Raw genomic sequence first — 25,136 nt, forward strand, 5'->3', positions numbered from 1 at the left:
TTCTGTTAACGGAATGTATTAGCGAAAGGCTTCACTTCATCAGCCCCCTCCCGCCCTTTTTGGCGTCATAAACCAAGAAACAACCAGATCAGCACCCACATCTCCCAAGATGCAAACACTGGGTCCCGAAAGGCATCTGTCCTGCCCCGGCGCAGATCCCCTGCAGCCTCCTTTCCTACTGCACAAATCGACTAGCGCAGGGACCGGGCTCTCTACCCGGGACTGCACGGAGGAGCTAAAGAGAGAAAAGGAGAAACAACATTGTGAGAAAAACGGCTAAAGTTCTCGAACTCCGTGTTTTTGCCCTCTTCTTGTTCACTACTCTTCAACCACCTCCAAGTTCCATCCCTTAAACCCACAAGCGAGCCCCTTTTCTTGACGCGCGCCTTTTATTGACGCAAACCTCCCGTTCTCGCGGGAACTTGGGAACGGGAGCCTGGTAGGGAGGACAAATCTCTCGAAATCTCAGTTGGCGCTGGAGCTGGAGGGGCAGTTGAAGCTCCTGAAGGGCGGGGCACGGAGCTTGAAGGGGCGGGGCCTAGCCTCAGAGAGGGGAGGGAAGAGGCGGGAGGAGGAGGTGAGAGAGGCCGGGGGCGGGGCCGTGCGGCCGGGGACCTGTTGATCGCAGGTATAGCCGGCTGGCCCGGGCTCCCTCGGGACTGGGGCGACTGCGCATGCTCGCTGGCCGCGCTGGGCCAGTAGCCGAGCCGCGGTGACGAACCGGCTCCGCGGTTGCGGTGTTTGCGGTTGCTGTGATGGCGATGTGAGGGGGCCCGGGGCGGGATGGTGCTGACCCGGGTCGGGCCGTCTTCTTGCAGCTGGACAACGAGCTCCTCCGTTCGACAGGCGGGGGAAGAGGCCGAGCCGGGCGAGAGGTAACCCCCTTACTGTCCCCTCTGGCTCCCCCGGCTCCCGACACCCACGACCCCTCCCTCCGTCCCTCTTGCCCAGGGGCCAGGAAGGAAGCGGCCTCCTCTTCGTCCGCCGTTCGCCCGCCGCGGCCCCTCACCCGACTGCTGGCGGTCGGAGCCTGGCCCCGGCCCCGTTGAAGGTCGGTGGGGACGGCGGTGCGGAGCGCTCTGAGGGAGGCGAGGGGCCGCGGCGCGCTGCTCTCCCGGTGCCCGCGGCCGCCCCTGCCCCTGCGCGCGTCCCTCGACCCGTTCTTCCTGAACCTCGCGCCTAGCGTGTTTGCCCTTCACCCCTGCTCCATCTTCGTCGCTCTGTCCCTCCTTTACCCGCTTTCGTGGTTCTGCTTTTTCATCCCGCGCCTCCCACGTGTCTTTTTGCCCGGGTGGTCCCTCCTTGGGAAGCAGCGTATCTCTGTGCTTCCATCCCTTGCCTGGCTCTTCCCTGTCCGGAGCTCCTTACCCTGGCCGACCAGGTTTCTCACTCTTGTTACCTCCATAATTTCTTCCTTGGTTTTATTTTCCTCTCATCCACCTCCTTTCGGTACTTCCTCCTGGTTCCCTTTTTGTTAGTTGCCGATTGTGTTTTGCTTTAGCATCGCTTTGCATTGGAGTTCATTCCATGCCCCATCTTAGCTTCGGAAACCCTCACTGCCTTCTCTTTCCTCTGGTACCCTGCTTCATCGCTTTCTGTCTAATGGCCCCTATCCTCACGTCCTTTTCCATTCTGCACCCAGTGAGTCTCTAATCTTAATTTTTTCCCCTCCAAAACTCTTCCACCCTCCCCCCCCCATTTGTATAAGTCAAGCCTCTTAACTTCATTCCATTTGTTTTACTTTTTATTAAATCTCTGAAGACTTCTTTGTGACATACCCTTCTAGTCCTTGCTGCTTTCTGCCTAAGCTAGGTATCCACTCAATGTTTCTAGTTCATCTTCCAGTTTAATAACATTTCTTCTTTCTTTACCGGTTGGTGGAAGTATCATCAAAAGAGTGACAGTAGCAACAAATCGGTTACACTTACTGATTAAAGCTTTAATTTTTAAGAATTATGTTTACCTGGCATGCCTGGGAAAGCAACTTGAGTACAGACTAAATGAAACTATAATGGGTTAAGACTTGTTAAAGGTTGACCTACAAACATACACTTAAAATTTGGAAATTTTCTTGTCCTCCATTAGGTGTAGCTGTCCAAGAACTAATCTTAAATGAAATTTAACAGAATTTCTTTTTTAAAATGTATTATTAATTTGTTTTATACATTTGCTATTGCAATTGATTGCATAATTTTCCTGAGAGTCTCTGTTCTCTAATAAATGCATACAATTTCTGCTACCTTTAGAATTAGTGTGCTTATAGGAGACATACGTGAGAAGTATTAAATTTTTTAATTGAGCAGAAGAACTTTCTAAACGGTTTTGTAATTTTTTTCCTCCATTGCATTGTGATCAAGATTTGGCTTAAATAAAACTTCTCTTTCCATAAATAATGGTATAGTATCTTATTTTGAAGGCATCTGCTGAAGCAATTATGTTTAGTGAAGTTTGTCTTTATTGTAGGGTTGAAGATCAACTGGATTATGTATTTGGTTCTGGAATCTCAAAGCAGTCCACAAACAAATTCTTCCTTATGTTGTCTGTGTCAGGTAGGAATTAAGTTTTCTGTTTCTGTTTTAAGAAGGGAAATACCAAGGCAAAAAAAAAAGTGTAGTTCCTTATTCAAAGTGATTTAAAGTAAAACTAGGAGGCTCTGGTGTCATCAAACCACACTTCTTTGAGAAGAACTAGCAATTGTGTATGGTAAGAGGTGATGCACTCATCAGCTTTTAAGATTTTTTAAAAATGATTTTTCAAATGCAAATAAAGAAACTGCTGCTTCTCAAGGAAGCTTGCACTTCCTTCAAATAAAAAGCCAGGTCTTTTTATTTTTAGGTAAACATTCATTTTAAAAAAGTAAATGCCTACAAATTCTTGCTGGTATTTTTAGTGAGTTGGTTCCTGTGCTCTTATAAATTAAATAGGGATTTGTGGTGGACAGCAGGCAGAAGACTAGAATTTCTAGTCAGAATATATGAACTCTTATGATGACTCATGACATTAGTTTGTAGAACCCACTTAACCTGTGTATCTCAGTATCTCCAGCTGTAAAGTAATTAATAGCAAAGCAAGCCCTAATCATTTAAACATGCTTAGGGCCACCGCAGACAAAAATTGCTATATAAATACTTAGTTTTTATCTCTTTAATTTTAGACTGTGTAGTAAGAGTATAATTGACTGCTTAAATCCCAAATCAAACATTTCTTTTTTAAATTTCAGACTTCTGTGAAAAGTCTAGTAGAATGCTGGTGAACTGTGGACTAGCACTCTATTAGACTTTTCTAATGTACTAGATAGATGTACCAAATAAAATGACCTGGCTTTGAAAGAAGTGCAAGCTTCCTTGAGAAGCAGCAGTTCTAATGTACTAGAGTTTTCTAATTAGTACATTAACTAATGTTCACACATTAGTTAATGTTCATACACAGTGAAACAGACACTGCAGCATTCAGTTTGTAAAACAGATATTCCTTTTGTTTGCCACGAGTTGACACTGAAAGGAAATGTAAGAGTTACACCTATATCTTTAGTTAATCCTTAATTTTCTGTTTTATATTTTTATTTTGTTTACATTAAATAAAATCTTTATTTTGTTTACATTAAATCCTTGTTGTGAGGGCTGTTTAGGGGGTAGAAAAGCCAAGGATTTCCTTTGCTTTGATTCTAGGTATTGAGGAAAAAGTGCTTTAACATTGAGTTTTTTATATGTACATGTGTGCATTTAAATAAATGGATGGAGCTGAGGGCATATAGATTTGAAGTGTTTTTTCATGAGTTGTTTGTCAGGAAGAAGGTTTAGAGATGACTAGGAATAAGGTGGGGTGTGGTGGCTCATGCCTGTAATTCTAGCACTTGGGGAGGCTGAGGCAGGAGGATCTCTTGAGGCCAGGAGTTCAAGACCAGCCTGGGCAACAGAGCGAAACCCTCTCCTAATTAAAAGAAAGAAAGAGGAATAAGAAGCAGAATGGTAATATAGAAGAAATCATTCTTAATGGACTCAGTGGTTTTTCAGAAAAGTTACAAAGCATAAGTGATTAGGCAGGTCTAGGTTTTTCAGAAGGAATAAGGTGAAACAACTCCACAGTAGGTTCACATTTTATTTTTAAAGATTGGCAGTTGTTAACAGGTACATACTTGGTTATTGATAATGTGCTAAATTTAGAAGAAATATTAGCTTCTTTTTTCCTAATAGAAATGTAAAAGTATCAGGCATATTATACCATTAAGAGACATCTCCTACTTGAGTAACTAACCCTTCAGGTAGTTCTTATTTTGATGAAAAAAATTTGATAAACTATCTCTCAACCGAGAAACCATTCTGAGAAAATTATAGCATATTTCCTTTTATGGCATTAGGTCTCTATGAGATCATACAGAATATAGAACATATTTCTAAATTATGTTATAAATATATTGATAATAGACTGGGACTTTTTTTTTTTTTTTGACAGAGTCCCACTGTATTGCCTCTACCTCCCGGATTCAAGCGATTCATGTGCCTCAGCCTCCCAAGTAGCTGGAATTACATGCCCAGGCCACCACACCTGGCTAATTTTTGTATTTTTAGTAGAGATGGGGTTTCACCATATTGGCCAGCAGGTCTCAAACTCCTGGCCTCAAGTGATTCTCCCGCCTCAGCCACCCAAAGTGCTGGGATTACAGGCATGAACTACTATGCCTGGCTGTAGTCTGGGACATTTCTGTTAAGTGTTATGAAATGTTCTTTTGCTACTGGTCTTAATTTAACCTGAACTAGAATAAGTATTCCTTTATTGAAATACCCTTGAAGTTGCCTATAGGATGCAGCTGTTTCATTCATGATTGTTTTTAGAGCAGTGTTAACTATGACACTTGCTCTTTGATGTCTTCAGATTGCCAGCAAGTCAAGGGCTTACATTGGAAATACTGCTATCTATAAATGTCTAAGCAGCAAGGTCAGCCCTTATTGGCAATAAAAAATGTAAGACTGTGGAAGCCTGTATACCCTTTACCATCTCTTTTATCTTTTGGAATTGAGAATCCCAGATTTTTAGAACAGCCTCAGGTTTACTATATTTGGTATCATCAACAGAGAAACATATAGCTTTTTAAAACATAGTTTGTCTTATATTCTAAAAAGCGATTCTCATTGTCTTTCCTTTGGAAGATGTCCTTTCTCACCCTCTCCACCAAAGAGAAAAAATTAGTGTTCTATTTTTTTCTTAAGTATTTCTATAATTCATGCAATATGGCATATGGCTGGCCCTCATGAGTTCATTTTGATGAGTGAGGAATGGCTGCAAAAGTTTCTAGACAAGGGATTTTCCTTACTTTGTGCCCTTTAGTGTAATGATTCTACTAAGCTCACCTTTGCTGTGAATCACTTTTAAAATGAGATAATGTTTGTGATAAAAGTTGTATATGTGAGTGATTGTAGGGCAAAAGAAGGTCATGAGTGATGATGATCTACAGAGTGAGGCAAGTGACAGCTGGCTTGGTCATTTTATTTAATTTATTTGTTTATTTATTTATTTATTTATTGAGCCAGAGTCTGCTCTGTTACCCAGGCTGGAGTGCAGTGGTGTGATCTCAGCTCACTGCAACCTCCTCCTCAAGGGTTCAAGCGATTCTCCTGCCTCAGCTTCCTGAGTAGCTGGGATTACAGGCCCGTGCCATCACACCCAGGTAATTTTCTTACTTTTAGTAGAGACAGGGTTTCGCTATGTTGGCCAGGCTGGTCTCGAACTCCTGACCGCAGGTGATCCACCCAAAGTGCTGGGATTACAGGCATGAGCCACTGTGCCTGACCTGGCCTGGTCATTTTAGAGCAGGGATATAATCCAGTGACTGAGCATGTTTAGTCTCTGTAAGAGGGAGCTTACTTACAAAGTTGGGCAGGAGGTCAGGGCCTCAGCCAATCAAGAAGGAAACTGAATGTAAATCAAGAAATACGACTATAACTCAGATAGTCGGGCTGAACCAAACCAATACAGACCTAACCAATTCAGGTGGCCAGAATTTACACCAGATAGCAGGTTTGGGGATGCAAGACTAATCCACATGTCACTGGCTGATTGTTTGCAGTTTACTGCTGTATGGTCTGACTTGGTCAAGATTAGCTCAAAGACTGTAAGGGCCAGAGCTTATGTTGATTGGAGTTCTGTGCTATAGGTGACTGGGATTTAGGAAAGATGGCAGCTAGGTGTACCTTCTGCCAAGAAACTCATTTTCCTACTCCGCTGGGTCGGCTACAGAACATGACTGTTACAATAATACTTGGTTATTTACAACAGAACAGCATTCTCAAGATTTCTAAGAGTATTCCTGTTTTGGCCAGGCATGGTGGCTCACGCCTGTAATCCCAGCACTTTGGGAGGCCGAGGCAGGCAGATCACGAGGTCAGGAGTTCAAGACCAGCCTGGCCAATATGGTGAAACCCAGTCTGTACTAAAAATACAAAAATTAGCTGGGCGTGGTGGCGCACGCCTGTAGTCCCAGCTGCTTGGGAGGCTGAGGCGGGAGAGTCACTTGAACCTGGGAGGCAGAAGTTGGAGTGAGCCGAGATAGCGCCACTGCACTCCAGCCTGGGTGACAGAGCGAGACTTCGTCTCAAAAAAAAAAAAAAAGTATTCCTGTTTTGGGCTTCTTGCTTATTCCTTTAGAGAAGGCCCAAGAACATCAATGCAAAATTAGACTACCTAGTATTAAATGTACTGCATTAACCTCCTTCTAGATTTAGAACATCTCTCTGTTCCCATCATTCCCATCTTATTTCTGTTTAGCAAACTTGAATTTAATTAAATAGTATGCAGATTACGTGTTTTTCCCTCGGTTGGTCTCAGATCTGGAATGTCAGTCTCAGTTCCCACATATTGTCATAGTGTAAGCCCCTCATCTAATTGTGTGTGAATCTGCTGTTCCTTCATTTGGTATCAGTTCTCATATGTCTCTCATAATGTGAGCCTCTCATTACATTGAATGAACATTTCAAAGTATGTATATTTTTTGTACAATATGGCCCCTGAATCCACGTTTACTACATTCTCTGGTGTTCAGGTGAAGAAATCGAATTTTTTCTTAAAGCTAAAGGAAAAAGTGAATATATTGTGCATAATGAGAGTGATATATTCGTTGCTAACATGAGGCCTAAGGGATTTTTAAGCGTTTTTAATTCGGTCTGTAGGCGACTTTTGCCTTATGTGGTATCTTTTGGGCATCATTATTCAGACTATCAGTATTTTGGGCTTTGAACCAATTTGTTTCATGGATGCTAACTTGGAAGTAGAAACTGGAGCTGTTGTCACCATAGTTTATGGAAGCAGTACCGTTTTTCCTTAGAGTGACAAAAGGGAGTGTCTGGAATCTCCAATTTGTTCAACTTCTTTACCCTCTAGCTTAGGAGAAAGAACATCCTCAGGGCATCTGTGGGTTCATAATTCAGGAGTCAAGGCTGTTTGATGATTTCTGTGAGAGAATCTGATCATTCCCTGTGGTCTCCAGTCCATCTTGAGGGACCTGTGTCTCTTAGTTTTGGATGTGTCCATTTCCTCTTTTAGGTTCTGAAGCACTCATGAATTCTGACTATGTGCAAGGTGTAGTTAGCTATTGTTTTAGGATCACTGTGGATGGTGCAGGAACGTCTCCCACATTTTTCCAGATATCCATGCCTGGACTCTCCTTTGTGGATATTGGATGTAACTCAGCTGATCTGATGGGAGCGAAGATGCCTGTAGTCTTAGGAACTTTGTATGGTTTTATGTACTTAGTACTATATTTGAAGGAGTTAACTATACACTCCAGCAGTTAAAGGGATGGCTTGGTATTCCTAGACTATGCTATCCAATAGAAGTATGTGAGATGTATAATTTAAATTTTTCTAATAACCACATTTAAAAAATTAAAAATAAGTAAAATTAATTTTAATAGTAATTTAATCCATATTTTCAAAACATTATTTCAAGATGTGATAAATATTTTAAAAACATATTAATGAGATATTTATGTTCTTTTTTGTACTAAGTCTTTGAAATTCTTTGTATACTTTATACTTACAGCATACCTCAGCACACACTACTTTTTTTTTTTTGTTTTTGGAGACAGAGTCTTACTGTGTCGCCCAGGCTGGAGTGTGTGGCGTGATCTCAGCTCACTGCAGCCTCAACCTCCTGGGCTCAAGCAGTCCTCCCACCTCAGCTTTCTGAGTAGCTAGGACCACAAGTGTGCACTACCACACCCAGCTAATTTTTGTATTTTATATAGAGACACGGTTTTGCCATGTTGCCCAGGCTGGTCTCGAACTCCTGAGAGCTCAAGCAGTCTGCTTGTCTCAGCCTCCCAAAGTGCTGGGATTATAGGTGTGAGCCACCACGCCTGGCCCACACTACTTTTTTTTAGTGTTCTACATTTTTAACTATTAAGGTAAAATGTAATCCCATCAAAATGATAAAGCTATGTTTAATGGAAAAATATTTTACACTGCTTCTGTGTTTGGATTTAAATTTAAATTAATTTAAAATTAAATAAAATTAAAAATTCAGTTTTTCAGTCACAGTAGTCACATTTCACTCGTTCAGTGGACACATGTTACAATGGCCACCATGTTGGACAGAGCAGCTCTAGAGGACCAAGAATGTCTTTCAGATTAATCAGTAAGTTTGTTTCTTTGAGAGTAAGCTAACTTTCCCCAAGGTATTAATAAGGTAGTTGTCAGATTGTTTACCCTATCAGGTTTGACTGGCAGAGAAATCAAATCCCTTCTTGTCTCTAAGGGCTTTTCACGTAAGTTTCTCACTTAGTTTCAGAGTCATTTCCTGTTTGGGATCCCCCTCTAGCTTTTTTGGATTGGTGTTTGTAGTTTACTTGGCTGGATTCTCACTTAGTGACCTGGGATATGACCCAGTAAGGAGCCCCATTTGAATAGACCTCCAGATGATTTCAGTTTTATGTCACTTTGCCAGGGCCAGTAGAACAGAATGAACAATTCAGTCTCCGGTAAGTCAGCTGATTCCAGTCATTTCAAAGGCATAGGTTTAAAGTAACAGGTTCCAAACCAGCCAGCAGACTGTGCAGGAGGGTCATGAAACTCTTAGCTTCTTGTAGATACAGAGAGTTCCTTGCAATGGAGAATCTGCCGTGCATCATCTGGGTAAAAGGAAAAAAGCTCTTTCTGCAACTTCTTGAGATGACAGACCTGAGTTTTTTTGGTTCATAAGTGGCGTTAAGAATCTGTGTAAGCAAGAGATTTTGCACTGTTCGCCCACAGAATGAATTTGCTCTGTTGTTGAATTTTGTTAGAAATACACAGTTTGTTTAGTTTTTATAACTAGTTGGTGGCATCTAAAATTAAGGAGATTTCACCTTTAGGGACAAAAAAGACTTCCAACTACCTCTTGAAAATTTAGAAGACCCTGATAGTGTTACGCCAGCAAGAACTGACTGGAGCTAAGTAGCCATTGCTCCCTATAGCTGGAAAACAAGTAGTTTCTAAGAAGAGGATCAAACAGATCCCCTTTCACTCCAACAGTCCTCTGAATTTTTTTTCCCTTGCTCTCTTTTGCCTGCTCTCCTTTTCCTTTAGTCCCTTTTTTGTATTTTTTCTTCTACTACAAAAATAAAAATATTCCTTCTGTTAGGCAGAGGGGAGGTAGTGGAAAACAGATTTGTCAGCATCATTATGTATATATATGTACATGTATGTTTCTATTTAGGGGATAATCAATACAAAAGAGGTAGATTAAAGGAAATTAGGCAGCAACAATAGAACAAAAAGCACAACAGGATACAAGAGTAAGAGTGGAAGAAACTGCAAACAGGCCTTGAACTTATACTGATAAAGGAATTTTATCACCAAAATTTGTTCATGCATATTTCTGCTTTCAGTATATCAGTGTAATAATTCCTTTCTCCAAGTTGGTTGAGTTTCAATTGAAGACAAGTAATAATAGTTACTATTTATGGAATCTTTAATGCTAATTTATTTTTCCTTAAATATTAAGTTGAGTACTATGTGCCAGACAATAGGAATATAGCAGTGAACAAAGTAGTCAGAATGTCCTGCCTTCGTGGAACTTTCATTTTAGTGGAGGAGAAACATTAAAGACTAATAAGTAAAATATTTAGTATGTTAGGTGGGGATAGGTGCTGAGGAAAAAATAAAGGACTAAAGAGATATGGTATGCCAGGAATAAAGAATTAATATTTTTGATAGTGCAGCCAGAAAAGGCCTAATTGAGAAGCTGGTATTTGAGTCAAGGCCAGAGGGAACTGAAGGAGTGAGTCCTGTGGATATCTGGAGAGAAGAATGTTCCAGGGAACAACGAGTGCAGAGGCCCTGAGACAGGAATATATTTCATGCGTTCAAAGAGTAGAAAGGAAATAAGTATGATGGGAGTGAGGAGAATCGTAGGAGATGAAGTCAGAGAAGATTCAGATTACATCATATAATTTTATAAGCCATTTTAAGGCAGTAAGATTGGAAGCCACAGAGGGTTTGGAACAGAGGAGAGAGACAAAAGCTGGTTTTTTGAAAATAGCCTGAAGAGGGGGAATATATTAGTTAGGGTATAGAGTAGGTATAGCTGCTGTAACAAAGAGTTACGAGACATGAAAGTCTGAGCAGTCTAGGTAGGGAAGACATTCGGTAATCCAGAATTTGTCCATTTTTTTGCTTTACCGTTCTTGAGGACTTGGTCCTAATCTATGTGATCAAAACTAGGGACACTGTCAAGTTGGTATTCCAGCCTGTAAGAAAAAGGGAAGCAGATGAAGTCCAGAGCAAAGAATTTCCTTTTAAACAAGTGAAGCAGATATTACATGTTTCACTTCAGTTTACATTCCATGGATAGGATCACTTGACATCAAGGGAGGTTGGGAAATATAGTCTCAGGCTGGGTGACCATTTGGCTAAAAGGAAGGGAAAACAGATGTGACAAGCAGTCTACCACAGTCTGCCACTTTGGCCTTCATCCTACCTGTTGATAATATTCCTATATTTCTTCCTCAAGGGAGACAACCCATAGTACCATCCATTAGTTGCATTAATCCAAGCTCACTGAGAGGCACAGTACTTTAGATCTGCAAGTCCAGTGACCTATAAACAAATCACAGTTATCTACTCCTCCTCCATCCCTCCCACACATACCCAACATATTATAGTGGATCAGAAACAGGAAAACAGTAATAAAATCTCCCATTTGGGAAAATAAACAATGAAAAAACTCTTTTCATGAGAATGATGAAGATCTCATGCCCTCGCAGTGGATTAATATCCTTAGTTCTGCTTTCTGGTAAGAATGAATGTCAATATTCATTGCATTAAGATCCCTGTCTTTGCTGTCTGGGTGTTTCTTCCTTACATTAACCTCTGTGGCCACATCTGAAGTTGATGTTGAAAGTTTGCCCACTTTGAAGGCTATTCAGTTTTCATAGCCTGCTTCTTGCTACTGCAGGTTTTCCAGCTTGCAAGTTACACAGTCACAAGCCTTTGCACCCTAGCTTATAATTTATTTGACAAATACTATTCCGTCAGAAACATAATAGGATTCTTTTACGTTTCTCTCCATTCAGTTCTCTGTGCCAGTAACTACACCAAAGTTATTTTCTGGATGTGGTTCTTAAGCCTGCCTTATTTATTTCTGTCTATGCACCCAACATCTTTTGATGGCCTCATTTTAATGAAGCACATCCTCATCCCTCATTTTAATGGTCACTGTCTTAAAACTATTTGAAACAACAAGTATTGGTGGGATAGCAGCATCCTTAATCTAATCTTAACTGCAGAGCTGGATCCCTTTGTTTTGTCAAGAATTCCTTTGACCAAGGCACTAAACCTGACATGGGGTATTGGCTGCAAGGCCCCACATTTAAGCGGCCTTATTTCTTTCCATCTTTGCTTACAAACTAGCCAATTCTTGCTTGAGTAAACATGGCGAAGAACCACCAACACCCGGTATTGTGGCATTTTTCATGTACTTTTTCTGGGACTATGGGCTTTTTATGGGCACTAGTTTTGCAGATTATTGTAGGCAACAGTTTAATCAATTGTTTTATTTCCACATAACAGTGGTTATTAGTATCGTAGTAGTATGTTCTCCTTTTGCCTGCTACCTAATTACTAAGCTAGTACCACGTTTTAGGATTTTGTTATAGCAGTATCTTAATTCTGATATTAATTTCTATATTAAGGAAAAGGCCAGCTTACTGAGTTAGGTGGTATGGGTGCTATCTGGACCCAAATCCCAAACCTATATTTTAAGCATTATGCTATTCATATATATATTCTATATATCTAATATATATTTATATATATAAAATACATATTACACACACACACAGAGTATACCTCTTTCTGATGGCTAGTTAACTTTTGAGATCAAGAACTTAGCTATACCTCATACTTACTACAATTCCTAGCCTATAGTAGGTGTTCAATAAATGTTTGAATGAACAAATACCCATTTTATACCTGAGTAAGTTAAGGCATAGAGACTTGGCCAAACTTTACTTAGAATCAAAACCAGAACATAATCTAAACCCTGCACACAAGAATATATGTACAGGAGAAGCTATCTTCGACATCATTTCCACAAAATGGGGAATATCTTATATAAAGATAGCATTGTTTGATCTTAGAAATAGTTACCAGAAAATCTTTTGATGTGACTATTAAAGTTTAAAATAGCAGTTATGGGAGCTGGTAAAGTCTACATCTTTATAATGGAGAGAAGAAAAACTCTGTATCAAAGAGTGAACGTGGTCTTTATTCCAACATTTTTAGTACCTAAAATAATTATACCAAGGACAAAAGATAGATTTTTTTAAAATTTAAGCAGTATTTGAAATGTGAGGAAAACTATCCATAGCACATTGAAGCAATCATTGTGTCAAAGTATTTTAAATAGTTCTTTATACACACATACATACATATATGCATACATGCACACACATACATATATACGTACTCAGGGAGTTACTTTAAAATGGTGAGTTCCACCTCTTAAAAATTAATGAGCTTAGGGCCGGGCGCGGTGGCTCACGCCTGTAATCCCAGCACTTTGGGAGGCCGAGGCGGGTGGATCATGAGGTCAGGAGATCGAGACCATCCTGGCTAACAAGGTGAAACCCTGTTTCTACTAAAAATACAAAAAATTAGCCGGGCGCGGTGGCGGGCGCCTGTAGTCCCAGCTACTCGGGAGGCTGAGGCAGGAGAATGGCGTGAACCCGGGAAGCGGAGCTTGCAGTGAGCCGAGATTGCGCCACTGCAGTCCGCAGTCTGGCCTGGGCGACAGAGCGAGACTCCGTCTCAAAAAAAAAAAACAACAACAAAAAAAAAATTAATGAGCTTATAATGTTTTGTGTATTCATGAGGGTTCCTACTGAACTAAGAAAGTACTCTATTTGTTATTGTACTTTGAATTATATGTAAGTGAATCCTTAATAGAGATATAATAGTTAATATTGATATTGAAATTGTGAATGAAAAAAGTCTCTAAAACTTATTCATAAGCCTTCGAAGGACATATATCTTTTATATAAATTGAAAATAGTAAGTAACTAACAAAACATAGGTTTCCTTAAGACAGACTTTTTTATGTCTACTATTTGGTTTGAGATGTTACTTTTTTTTCTCATAGGGGGAACGGTGTATTTTTAACAACGGGAATCAGTAACTGGAAGTACAAGATTGGTTATTTAATAATGTTAAAAATGAGGCTTTGAAAAGCAGAGGTAAGAATATAACTTTTTTGCACTTAATTCTTAATAGATTCGAGTATTTGCCAAATTTCTATGAAGAACTGCTTCAAGAATTGGGAAGGGTCTGAGATTTTACCCCACTTGCAAGCTGACAAGTTAGTCTGCCACGGTGCCATGGATGTTGGCAGGACATGAGAGTCATGGATCAAGGTCGAGGATTGTTTATGCTCATAGCACTAGCAAGAGTACCAGGTGACACCTGTATGTGAGTAGTTTGTGTTACAGGAGAAGAACCCTGAATTAGGGGAACCTGAGTCTTTTAGAATGGACAGTAAACCTGCCTGACTTTTTTCCTGGAGGGAGGCTTTATCTGTATTATACAGAACAGTAGACAAATCTGCCCTTTGTTCTAGTATAAGACACTATCTCTGACTTCTAAGATTGTTCATTATACAAACATCCGTGAAAAGATAGTCTGGAACAAAGGCTGTCTATGTCTCTGCTTGTGAGACGTGTAGAAACATGAGAGATTTGTGAAGAATTGTCTTCCAACACTTTCTTACTCTAAATTGCTTTCTACACTTAGCTTACTTAACAGTCCAAGAAGTTATTCTTTAAATATGTACTGTTGATAAGGATGATTGTTATAATTTTTTTTAAATAGTGAAAAAATGGAAACTACTGAAGTCACCCAACAATAGGGGATTGTTTAATTATAACATGTTCCCAGTGTCATAGTTAACAATTAATGGCCGGGGGCGGTGGTTCATGCCTGTAATCCCAGCACTTTGGGAGGCTGAGGTGAGCAGATCACTTGAGGCCAGGAGTTCAAGACCAGCCTGGCCAACATGGCAAAACCCCATCTCTACTAAAAATACAAAAATTAGCTGAGCATGACGGCGCATGCCTATAGTCCCAGCTACTCAGAAGGCTGAGGCAGGAGAATGGCTTAAACCCCGGAGGCGGGGATTGCAGTGAGCCGAGAGCGCGCCACTGCACTCCAGCCTGGGTGACAGAGCGAGACTCTGTCTCACAAAAAAAAAAAAAAAAAATTAATATTGTAAAACTACATTATTGACATATATGTTCACTGAATAATTAAGTGAAATAAGCAGATGATAAAATGTACATGTGGTTTGATCCCACTATTAAAAAATTTTACAAATGCACACACATGAAGAACGTACCAAAGTATGTATTTCAGTGGATGGAATTGTGAATGTTTTCTATTTGTGCTTGTCTATTTTCTTTTCTTCAACTTCTTTGCAATTGAATACTTTAGAATTTGTAATAAAGGAAAAAATCTCTTTCTCTTTAAATTTAAAAGTGAAAAGTGATTTAAGAATTTTTTTCTTCACTTAAAGAAAAACCTTTCATCAGCTTAACTGGGGATTGAAGAGTGTTAATTTTTTTTTGACTCTGGAGTTACTTACATGTGCAATGTAGCACAAGAAGAGAATATTAGATATCTTCACTATTAAAAAAGTTCCTATCTATAAGAGATAAAGTTGAGTTTCTTTTAGCAATATGTTGTATTATTTATTATCACATAAATGTCATCAAGGGTAACAAATCTTAGAAAAAGCTTTCTGACAGGACAATCTTAAATTATAGAGAGTAGTGCAGCTTAGTAAGTATACATTCTGGTCCTATTTAGTTGGGTTAGGTTGTTAAGTACACTGAAATAATTTGTTTTTATTTTCTGCCTATGTGTCATATTCTAAAATATGTATAAATAATAGCATTTTTATAAGTTGGCATTTTTGTTACGCTTCTCATGATTTTTTCCCTTTCCTTAACAAAGGTGCTGTTATCAGAATAGTCTTCTGGGTATAAATTAAAAATGACTGAAGTTCAAGCAATGGTAGAATTCTCTGTGGAGCTAAACAAGTTCTACAATGTGGATTTGTTTCAGAGAGGGTATGTATTTTATTGTGAAAATGATATATTTTGCATAAGATGTACAGTTTAAATTTAAATTTAATTACATATTTTTATTCCAGCATATATAAGGAAAACAATGAACTATATTCAAGTAATTATTTTCTCAGATAAATTTTATTTATTAAATAGATATTTTGGGATTATTCACATGAATTTAATGATAATGCTGGATATACTGAACCTGTGTTTATGAATTTGTAGTGAGCCTTGAGAGGACTTTACTGTAAATGTATAAGGTCTAATTTTTGCTCTTTAAAATCTTATAGTATAATGGGAAAAAATAAGACATGCATACAAAGCAACTAAATAGAAATACAAACATACATGATGAAGCTTATTTCACTTGATTTTTCTGTATCAGTGAATGTAGTTTTATAATATCATTTTTAATTATTAACTATTACACTGTGACATGTTATAATTTAACAGTCACCCACTGTTGGGTATTTCATTTGTTTTCATCTTTTCACTATTTCACGAAAACACTAAAACAATAATCTTTATCAATGGTACCTATAAAGCAATGTAATAACTTCTTGGCGTTTTGGCTAAGATCAATAAGTATGTATAAGAGGTGCTCTAGGAATCAACAGAAAGACGTCTTTCTGGTTTAGTATGTTAGAAAAGGCATTATGGAGGGATAAGATCAAAGTATGGCTAAGACTTGGATAGGCAAAGTATAAAGTGAAAGATCATATTTGTAGAAGAGAACAGCATGATTCAGTACAGCCACATGAATCAAGTGTTGGAAATAGAAACGAACATGTTATTTTTAAGAATAATTAGGGGCCAGGTGTGGTGGCTCACACCTGTAATCCCAGGACTTTGGGAGGCCGAGGCGGGCAGATCACCAGAGGTCAGGAGTTTGAGACCAACCTGGCCAACATGGTGAAACCCTACCTCTACTAAAAATACAAAAATTAGCCGGGCGTGGTGGTGCACGCCTGTAATCCCAGCTACTTAGGAGTCTGAGGCAGGAGAATCGCTTGAATCCAGGAGACAGAGTTTGCAGTGAGCCGAGATTGCGCTAGTGCACTCCAGCCTGGGCAACAGAGCAAGACTCCATCTCAAGGAACGTTAAAAAAAATAAAAATTAAAAAAAAAGAATATTTAGGAAATTGGATATTTTCTAGGAGAATTACAGAAGAAAGGTAGTAAAGAATGGCAAGGTTATATTTGTGAAAGACTTTAATGTCTAGAGAAGAGTTGACACTAGGGATTTGGGTAACCATCAATAGTTTCTAAGTAAGGATAAAATTTTATCACTATTATTACAATAAGCACTTACTAACATGATGGATATTATGATACATTAGACTGATGGTTGTGTAGAAGAAATAGAAACCTAGGAAACAGTTTAGAGGCACTTGATAGTAACTCAAGATATAAATCTGGAGATCTATACAAAGAGTGGTGGCAGTGGGACTAACAGAAGAAGTAGAGCAAGAGATTCTCTATTTTTTTTTTTTGCCTTGACCTTGCCATCTTGTTGAAAAAATAAAAACAGCTGTGCCTGTGCTGTGGTCTGCTCTATATGGTCTCTAATTTCTTAGCAGGCCAGCCTGGACTTGTTCTCATGGTGGAGACAAGAGTCTGAGATAGAGAGCAGAAGGCCGGGTGCGGTGGCTCACGCCTGTAATCCCAGCACTTTGGGAGGCCAAGGCGGGCAGATCACCAGAGTTCAGGAGTTCGAGACCAGCCTGGCCAACATGGTGAAGCCCCATCTCTACTAAAAATATAAAAATTACCCAGGTGTGGTGGTGGACGCCTGTAATCCCAGCTACTCGGGAGGCTGAGGCAGAAGAATTGCTTGAACCCAGGAGACGTAGGTTTCAGTGAGCCGACACGGTGCCACTGCACTCCAGCCTGGGTAACAGAGTGAGACTCTATCTAAAAAAAAAAACAAAAAAAGAAAGAGAGCAGAAGATGCAAGTCTCCTTCAATTGACACACTGTTACTTCCACTGCATTCCATTGGCCAAGCAAGTCACAGTGCGAGGTCACGAGTCAGGCTGGTGGCTTTTTGGCCAGTACAATTCACTTAAAAAACTTTGTGGACTGTCCATATGGCTGATAAGTTTATTCCATGCTTTAAAGCCCACAGCCACAGTTGTTTTTGAGACATGCTTGCTCTCTAGATAGCATATCTACCAATCTCTGCTACTTGGGGATTAGAATTCTGTGGGATCATGCCCATCAACTTTCTAAAAATCCTTTTGTCATGCTGAGAACGTCTGCTTACATCTTAATTCTTTTAGTGATCTTAAGAAAGGAAGCTACAGCTACATCCTTGAGTTGATCTTTGTTCAAGGGCTTTGTTTTATTTTCAGGAGACTGCAGATGAAACAGTTTTATTTTCCAACCCAGCAAGTTCTAGTTGCTCTAGATTTCTTCTAGATTCTGCTTATAAAATGACTAGCTCTTTCTTTAGTTCATCTCTATCTTGCAGAACCTTATACTTAGCTAGGAGCAACCAGTTGGCGTTTTTGGTATTCTGCTTGGAAATTAATTTGCTAAGTCCAAAAGTTTCTTAGATACATTTTCTGAATTATTCCAGGTTAGTGTAAGATAGCATATTACATCACTCCATAACATGGTTACCATTTTCCTCATCTCCTATAGTTTCCTCATTATTTTTCCACCATTTGTAGCTGTAACTGTTAGTTTGGCCCCAGAATTAATGCCACTTATTTTAAGTTTTTGTTATGGCACACACCACTTCTAGGTATCGATTTCTGTATTGTTTATTGTCACAATAATGCAGCTAACCACAAACACAAAGACTCAATGGCATTATGGCAATAAACATTTATTTTTGCTCCTAAGTCTGTGGATCATCTCAACGGTTCTACTGATCTAGGGTGGCTTGGCTCATCTTTGCTGGGCTCACTTCATGAATGCACAGTCAGATGGCAGATTGGCCGGGCACTAGCTGGATGCAGAGTGGCCTCAGCTGGGCAGTCTCAGTTCTGTTTCACAGTCTCTCATCCTGCAGCTTATTCTCATGGACAAGGCATGGGTCCACAGAAGAGAGAAACCATGCCAGCAGACCTCATATCATCTAGGCTTGGAAATGATGCACTGTTACACCTCCACCACAAGATACTGGCCAAAGCAAGTCATAAGTAAGGCCAGCCCACATTTAAAAGGTGGGCAACTACACTCCACTTCTTAATGGGAGTCACACTGTAAGAGGTCTGAATATAAGGAAGAGCAAAATATAGGTGACATTTTTAAAATCAATCTACAGGTTACATTTTGTAGGTTTGTTTTTAACAACATGATTTTGACAAGCTAAATGTGTAAAAAGCAATTCAGTATTGGAGTTAGATTTGAAGACTAGCTAGAAAACAAATTGCTTGCTTAAGTTGTATTCATGAAAAAAATGATTATTTGGAAACCATTACTGTTTATAAAATAGTTTTCAAATATATGTAGTGTCCTCTGACCTATATATAAAATATATCATTATAAAATTATAAAATATTTTAATGTGTAATATAAACATAATATCAACATGTAAAATTGTTCTTTCCAAGTAAAACAGTGTTACTCTTTAGACAAAAAAGTCATGATGTGAAATCACTTTGCTTAATAAAATCATGTTAAGTTTTACCTCATACAATTTTAACACGGTGTTGTGTATTAACAATCAATGCTATAAATGTGTTCTAAAGAATAGAGGATAGAAATGTAATAACTTAATATTCACAAACACATTCTTTTAGCCACTAACCTCAGTATTTTATTCTTCCTCTAAAAAAATAAATTCAAGTTTTCTGACAATGGAAAAAATAGATGTATACTTAATCTCTACCTGCTGCACTTCTGTAAAGATACTAAAGAGCATCTCTTTCTCTTATGACTACTTATAAAAGATTTATTACTATTATAGTTCATTTTTATGCTAGATCAAAGCAGGAAAAGGATCTACATTATTATTACACTTGAAAAATAACTTATAGAAGAGCAAAATTAAATTTGTTAAGTAAAGCGCTTTTCCTGTTCATCTGTGAGAATATGTTTTTGTGGCCCTTTGCAACTTTCTGTCTTTCTTGAAGACCATTCTTATAATGAACTTAACAAAACATTGTTAATAAATAGACATCCTTACTTCTTTATAGCCCCCTACCTAAGGTGATCCTTTAAATTGTGTTTTACTTAACAGAGTATGGGAAATAAATAAGGTATGAAATAAGAACAGAAGAATAGATTGCTTTGCTTTAGTGCTTATCTCATTGCATTGGATTATTTATAGATAAATTGATTATATCTCTTTTTTCTGATTAAAATATTTTCTTCCCTTATATTTTCTAACTTTTTTTTTTAATATAAAGGAAGACATCGACTTTTTTTTCCTTATAATTCTCTTTAGGATCCTAAAATACACCTACAATTCAGAAGTACTTATACTGCCATATTTAAGATGATAACTTAATAAGAAAAATAATTTTTCTTTTTAATTTGTCTGAATTGTAGGGACTTTTTTTAGAGTTAAAAGGACAATATAAAGCATCTAGTTTAAAAACTTATACAGTTTATAAATGGTATAAGTAATTTAAGTTACAAAAATAAGTTTTTAAACACCCTGTTATGCTAGGATGTCCGTATAATTTATTGACCAAATCAAGATACTTTTTTTTTTTTTTTTAAGACAGTCTTTGCTCTGTCGCCCAGGCTGGAGTGCGGTGGCTTGATCTCGGCTCACTGCAAGCTCCGCCTCCCGGGTTCATGCCATTCTCCTGCCTCAGCCTTCCGAGTAGCTGGGACTACAGGCGCCCACTACCACACCCAGCTAATTTTTTGTATTTTTATTAAAGACGAGGTTTCACCATGTTAGCTAGTATGGTCTTGATCTCCTGACCTCATGATCCGCCCGCCTCGGCGTCCCAAAGTGCTGGGATTACAGGCATGAGCCACCGCGCCCGGCCTTCAAGATACTTTTTAACATGAAAGGAGGCACTGTTAATAATAGGCCCAGACAAATGAAAACCAGGATGGCTTCAGGCAAACCAGGACATAAGGCCATCCTTGTAATAATCAAATATTCCTTAAATCTTAACTTTTTTTTTTTTTAAGTAACTTAAAGCAGCAAACATTTGTTGTTTCTAATGAGTCTTTAGGTTGGAGCTTGGCTGATGTCATCGAAGCTTGTCCACGCGTTTGTGGTCAGCTGTGGACTGATTGGTCTAAGATGGCCTTGGTTGGGACTTCTCAGCTCTCCTCCACATAATCTCTCATCCTCTAACAGGCTAGGCTGGGCTTAAACAACTCTTAGCTTTAATTGAATTAGAAAATTGTATTTTTGCTTAGACTTATCGGGTGTAATAGATTATTCAATGTTAAAAAAAGTTATTTTAAAAAATCTGTGCTTGCCTTCAGAAAGGAATAAACAGATTACTAATGTATTTACATGATAATTAATTTTTACTATAATTACATTGTTTTGCCTTAATGGTAAACAGAAAGCTCAGATACTAACAATCTAAAGAAAAACTAGTTTTATTTTAATTTTACTCTATTCTATCATTTTGTTTAATAGAGTGGATTTTTAAACTCTGAAAACGAAGTCAAAATTGTAAAGCACTGATCATAAATATGATGCTATTAAATGGAATGTGGATGTATGTCTTATAAATGAGTAATATAAATTATCTTAAGATTTGTATTATATTAGGAGTATCTAATTACAAGATAATAGACTTCCCAATGACTTCATTCAAAATACATTTGTCAAGAGGACTCCAAAGGAGAAGGAAATATTGCCCTTTAAATAGACACAGAAACATTGCTATTTGAACACCTGTTCTCATTGGCATAAAGGATAAGAGGATGGAATTAAATTATGGTTGTAGTAAATTTCAGTTAGGTTTTAAAGTGGGGGAAATTTTTCTTTGTTTGGAGATGATTGCAAAATTGTTGAAGTATCTTTTTCTAGAATGCTTTAGGTCAGTGCTATTCTCAGTAGCTTGTCTGCAGATGGTTTGTGACTGGTTCAGGATGAAGCACTGTTGCCAGAATGGAAATGAATGCTGCTTTCTTCATTAAATTTTGCTACCAAAAAAAAGTTAGTTAAAATAGTGTGCTTTGCAATATAGTTGATTTACTTTATTTTACTGCAGATTGGTAACAACCATTTCACAAAAATGCACCCGTCTGTGTACCATATTTGAAGTAGTACAGCTTTAGAATATTAGCAATGGCATCTTGAGTGGAGTTGGGTTTCATTCATTTTGAAAAGCGGCAAATATTTAGAAGACATTTAGAAGAACTTTGACAAAGTGCTATGCTTTAATCTTTTATCAGACTTTGCAAGTGAAATGTTATCAGTTTGATTTGTTTCCACATATCGTTGGAACAGTCAATAATCCAGCATGCTACTACTAATAAATTAAGTAGTGAGGAAAATATTGTTGGAGTCAGAAGTTGAAAGTAGTACTTTGTTCTTTATTTATCTGGATTACTGTAGAACAGTTAATTGAATACCTGTAGCTACTATTACTTTTCTTAATCATATACTGCCACCATTTCCTTGTCATAAGATAAACTACTACAAAGAACATATTATGATTTGGAAATGGAGGAAAGTAAGGATATAGATTTAGAAATTATATATATACGTGTGTGTGTGTGTGTGTGTATATATATATATATATATATATATATATTTTTTTTTTTTTTTAGATGGAGTCTCACTCTTGCCCAGGCTGGAGGGCAGTGGCGTGATCTTGGCTCACTGCAACCTCTGCCTTCTGGGTTCAAGCAGTTCTCCCTGTCTCAGCCTCCTGAATAGCTGGGATTACAGGTGCCTGCCACCACGCCCAGCTAATTGTTATGTTTTTAGTAGAGGTGGCGTTTTGCCCTGTTGGCCAGGCTGGTCTCAAACTCCTGACCTTAGGTGATCCGCCCTCCTCGGCCTCCCAAAGTGCTGGGATTACAGGCGTGAGTGACCGCACCCGGCCTAGAAATTACATTCTTAAATTTTAGTAACATCACAAAACCATGGAACTTAAATCCTTTTGGAAAACCTCTGTAGAACCCTGTAAACCAGGTTTGATACAACACAGTTTTTTTGTTTGTTTTTTGTTTTTTTTGAGATGGAGTTTCGCTCTTGTTGCCCAGGCTGGAGCGTAGTGATGCAATGTCGGCTCATCGCAACCTCCACCTCCCCGGATCAAGCAATTCTCCTGCCTCAGCCTCCTGAGTAGCTGGGATTACAGGCATGCGTCACCATGCCCTGTAACACAGTTTTTAACAAAATTATCTTAAATCCCTTTTGTTTATGATTCTGAGGTTGTTAAACTTATGGAAGATTTGTAGTTTGATTTAAAAGGACTATCAGCTAAGAGTCAGAAATTCAGCTGAATTTTGTTTTATTGACATTGATTACAACTTTTGAAAAAAGTGATTCCTTGTCTATAATGTCATGTATGTGTTGTATTCTTAAAGTTCATGAACTTGCCGGGTGTGGTGGCTCACGCCTGTGATCCCAGCACTTTGGGAGGCCGAAGCAGGCTGATCACCTGAGGTCAGGAGTTCGAGACCAACCTGGCCAACATGGTGAAACCCTGTCTCTACTAAAAGTACAAAAATTAGCCAGGCATGGTGGTGGGTGCCTGCAGTCCCAACTACTTGGGAGGCTGAGGCAGGAGAATCACTTGAACCCCAGAGGCGGAGGTTGCAGTGAGCTGAGATCGTGCCACTGCACTCCAGCCTGGGTGACAAGAACAAGATTCTGTCTCAAAAAAAAAAAAAAAAAAGTTCAGGAATTGAGGACTTCTGATTAAGCATTGGTGATTGGAGCTCACAAGAAACTACCTCAAATTTTTCATAAGGCCTTCAAAACTGTCTGAAATTGTCTGTCTTCAGTAAGATATAAGGACTGAGAATACTCGATAAGAAGTTAATTGGTTTCTCAGTTTTAAGAATCAGCCCTTCTCTGTACTCCGCAATTTGTTTTCTTTCAACAGTTTACGTCAGCTATCGGAATATAAATATTTCTTTCATTGTTAATGTTAGCTGTGACCTTTACTCATTTTTTAATCTGTGCTATGGTATAGGGGTACATTTAGTCTGAATCAGCAGTTTACAGATGGAGTACAAGGGTATTGGATTTAAGGGGCTAGTAAGTTCTGCTTTTCTGGAAGCTTTTATAATTTGATGTTGGCGATATGAAAAAAAAACAGTTGTGAAAATCATAATTGCCAATGTGTATTCTTCTTTTTGTTTTTAAAACTGGAAACTCATTTTGTTTTCAGTTTCACCATTCTTTAGGTGAGAAAGGATGTCTGCAGTCTTTGAAGGATCATTATAATGGATCATAACAGTGAATGATGGGGCCAATAGTAATTGAATATCCCAACAATCTGCCATTACTGGCTTTGAACACATATGTTTTTAAAGTATAAGTAAATAGAGGAGGTCAAATTAACTGTGGGAAAAAAAAACTACTACCGAAAACCAAAAAAGATTTAGTATTTACTTAATGCTGTCAATTAACTAGCTTTAAAGGACTAAGTGTTATTATGAGAAATGTCTATATGAAAATCAAAACATAAATGACATGACTTAAATGTAGGGCAAACCTCAATGGGGAAAGAAACATGAAACAAATTTGTGTATTTATTAACTATATATATATAATACTGTGTTTCTACATTAATGAAAAGTTTTCTGCATCTCTGCAACTTCAATATGTAACTTATGAAACAATTTGCATAAGGATAAACTTAACTTATGGTTGAGTAGTACTTAACCCAGGGGCTACCCATATGGATCTTAGAGTTCCACCTGTAAATAACAATATGTATACTCAAAGAGGTAACCAATAAATTGGCTAGATAATCAGACAGTAAGTATAGACGTTTCTTCATATTAATAAAGACCTTTTTTGGGGAAACAACAAGTGGGCTTGTTGTTTTCTTGGCAAAATTAAAGAATGGATTTTAAAAGAATATATTGGGATAAAAGTTTACATATAAAAAATTAAATAATTCTGTAAGTGTTCAGTTTTAAAAGATTTTACCTACAAAGAAATAAGAGTTTGGTCTCAAACTTTTTCTTAGTATTACTTAAGATCCTGAAATAATGAAACAACATCTTCAGAAGTTTGCAGGAAAGTTGTAGTGACCCAAGTATTTTATCTTTTTGTAACAATAGGGAGATACTATGAGAAAATACAGTCTCAGAAAATATACTTTCCATTTACTTATTCTGAATAGATTACTTGTGATATGTTCCAGAGCACGATGGGAGAGAGTAAAAATTTAGAACTCGGAATTAGGGAAGTTGTAGAAAATAGGCTTTGAAACTTGTTAAAGTTATTGAAATAAGTCAAAAAACTAAATTTTACAAAAGTAAATGTTAGGCTCTTTGAAAAACAATTTCCATTTTGAAGAGATTAGTGAGTTGCTTTATTTCTCTATATTTATTAATAAAACATGGAACGGGAGAATGATGGCGGAGGAATTGTGAAATTTCTTTCATAAAAAGCAAGAAAAAATTTTTAATCATTCTTTCTA

The 25,136-nt window shown here is 38.2% G+C and overlaps 1 protein-coding gene and 1 long non-coding RNA gene across 60 annotated transcripts in view, besides 4 other annotated features; one reads left to right on the forward strand and one right to left on the reverse strand.

The window, feature by feature from the left end:
• FAM135A-AS1 (FAM135A antisense RNA 1) lies at positions 1 to 1,131 on the reverse strand. Its single transcript, NR_147708.1, has 2 exons — positions 1,010 to 1,131; positions 1 to 235 (listed from the first exon to the last, which is right to left on the reverse strand). It is a non-coding gene; the product is annotated as an FAM135A antisense RNA 1 (long non-coding RNA).
• Positions 488 to 707: a silencer, noted in NCBI's record as "silent region_17317". NCBI's record gives its function as "represses an Ori minimal core promoter by ATAC-STARR-seq in GM12878 lymphoblastoid cells {active_cell/tissue: GM12878}" and the evidence as "EXISTENCE:reporter gene assay evidence [ECO:0000049][PMID:35858748]".
• The window catches only part of FAM135A (family with sequence similarity 135 member A), a 147,667-nt gene continuing 123,211 nt past the window's right edge, over positions 681 to 25,136 (forward strand). For 18 of the 59 annotated variants that reach the window (NM_001330999.3, XM_005248749.2, NM_001330998.3 and 15 more), the window contains exons 1-4: positions 681 to 875; positions 2,464 to 2,549; positions 13,612 to 13,705; positions 15,477 to 15,592. In NM_001330999.3, the coding sequence (NP_001317928.1) occupies positions 15,516 to 15,592 (77 nt within the window). In that variant the 5' untranslated portion in view covers positions 681 to 875; positions 2,464 to 2,549; positions 13,612 to 13,705; positions 15,477 to 15,515. Of the gene's footprint in view, positions 876 to 2,463; positions 2,550 to 4,452; positions 5,666 to 13,611; positions 13,706 to 13,742; positions 13,938 to 15,476; positions 15,593 to 25,136 lie in introns of all 59 variants that reach the window. The other 41 variants (NM_001438502.1, NM_001438510.1, NM_001438517.1 and 38 more) reach the window with 9 other exon arrangements.
• Positions 1,048 to 1,197: a silencer, noted in NCBI's record as "silent region_17318". NCBI's record gives its function as "represses an Ori minimal core promoter by ATAC-STARR-seq in GM12878 lymphoblastoid cells {active_cell/tissue: GM12878}" and the evidence as "EXISTENCE:reporter gene assay evidence [ECO:0000049][PMID:35858748]".
• Positions 8,832 to 8,931: an enhancer, noted in NCBI's record as "active region_24731". NCBI's record gives its function as "activates an Ori minimal core promoter by ATAC-STARR-seq in GM12878 lymphoblastoid cells {active_cell/tissue: GM12878}" and the evidence as "EXISTENCE:reporter gene assay evidence [ECO:0000049][PMID:35858748]".
• Positions 9,012 to 9,061: an enhancer, noted in NCBI's record as "active region_24732". NCBI's record gives its function as "activates an Ori minimal core promoter by ATAC-STARR-seq in GM12878 lymphoblastoid cells {active_cell/tissue: GM12878}" and the evidence as "EXISTENCE:reporter gene assay evidence [ECO:0000049][PMID:35858748]".

This window comes from Homo sapiens, chromosome 6, assembly GCF_000001405.40.
Source record: "Homo sapiens chromosome 6, GRCh38.p14 Primary Assembly".
Classification (NCBI taxonomy): Eukaryota; Metazoa; Chordata; class Mammalia; order Primates; family Hominidae; genus Homo; species Homo sapiens.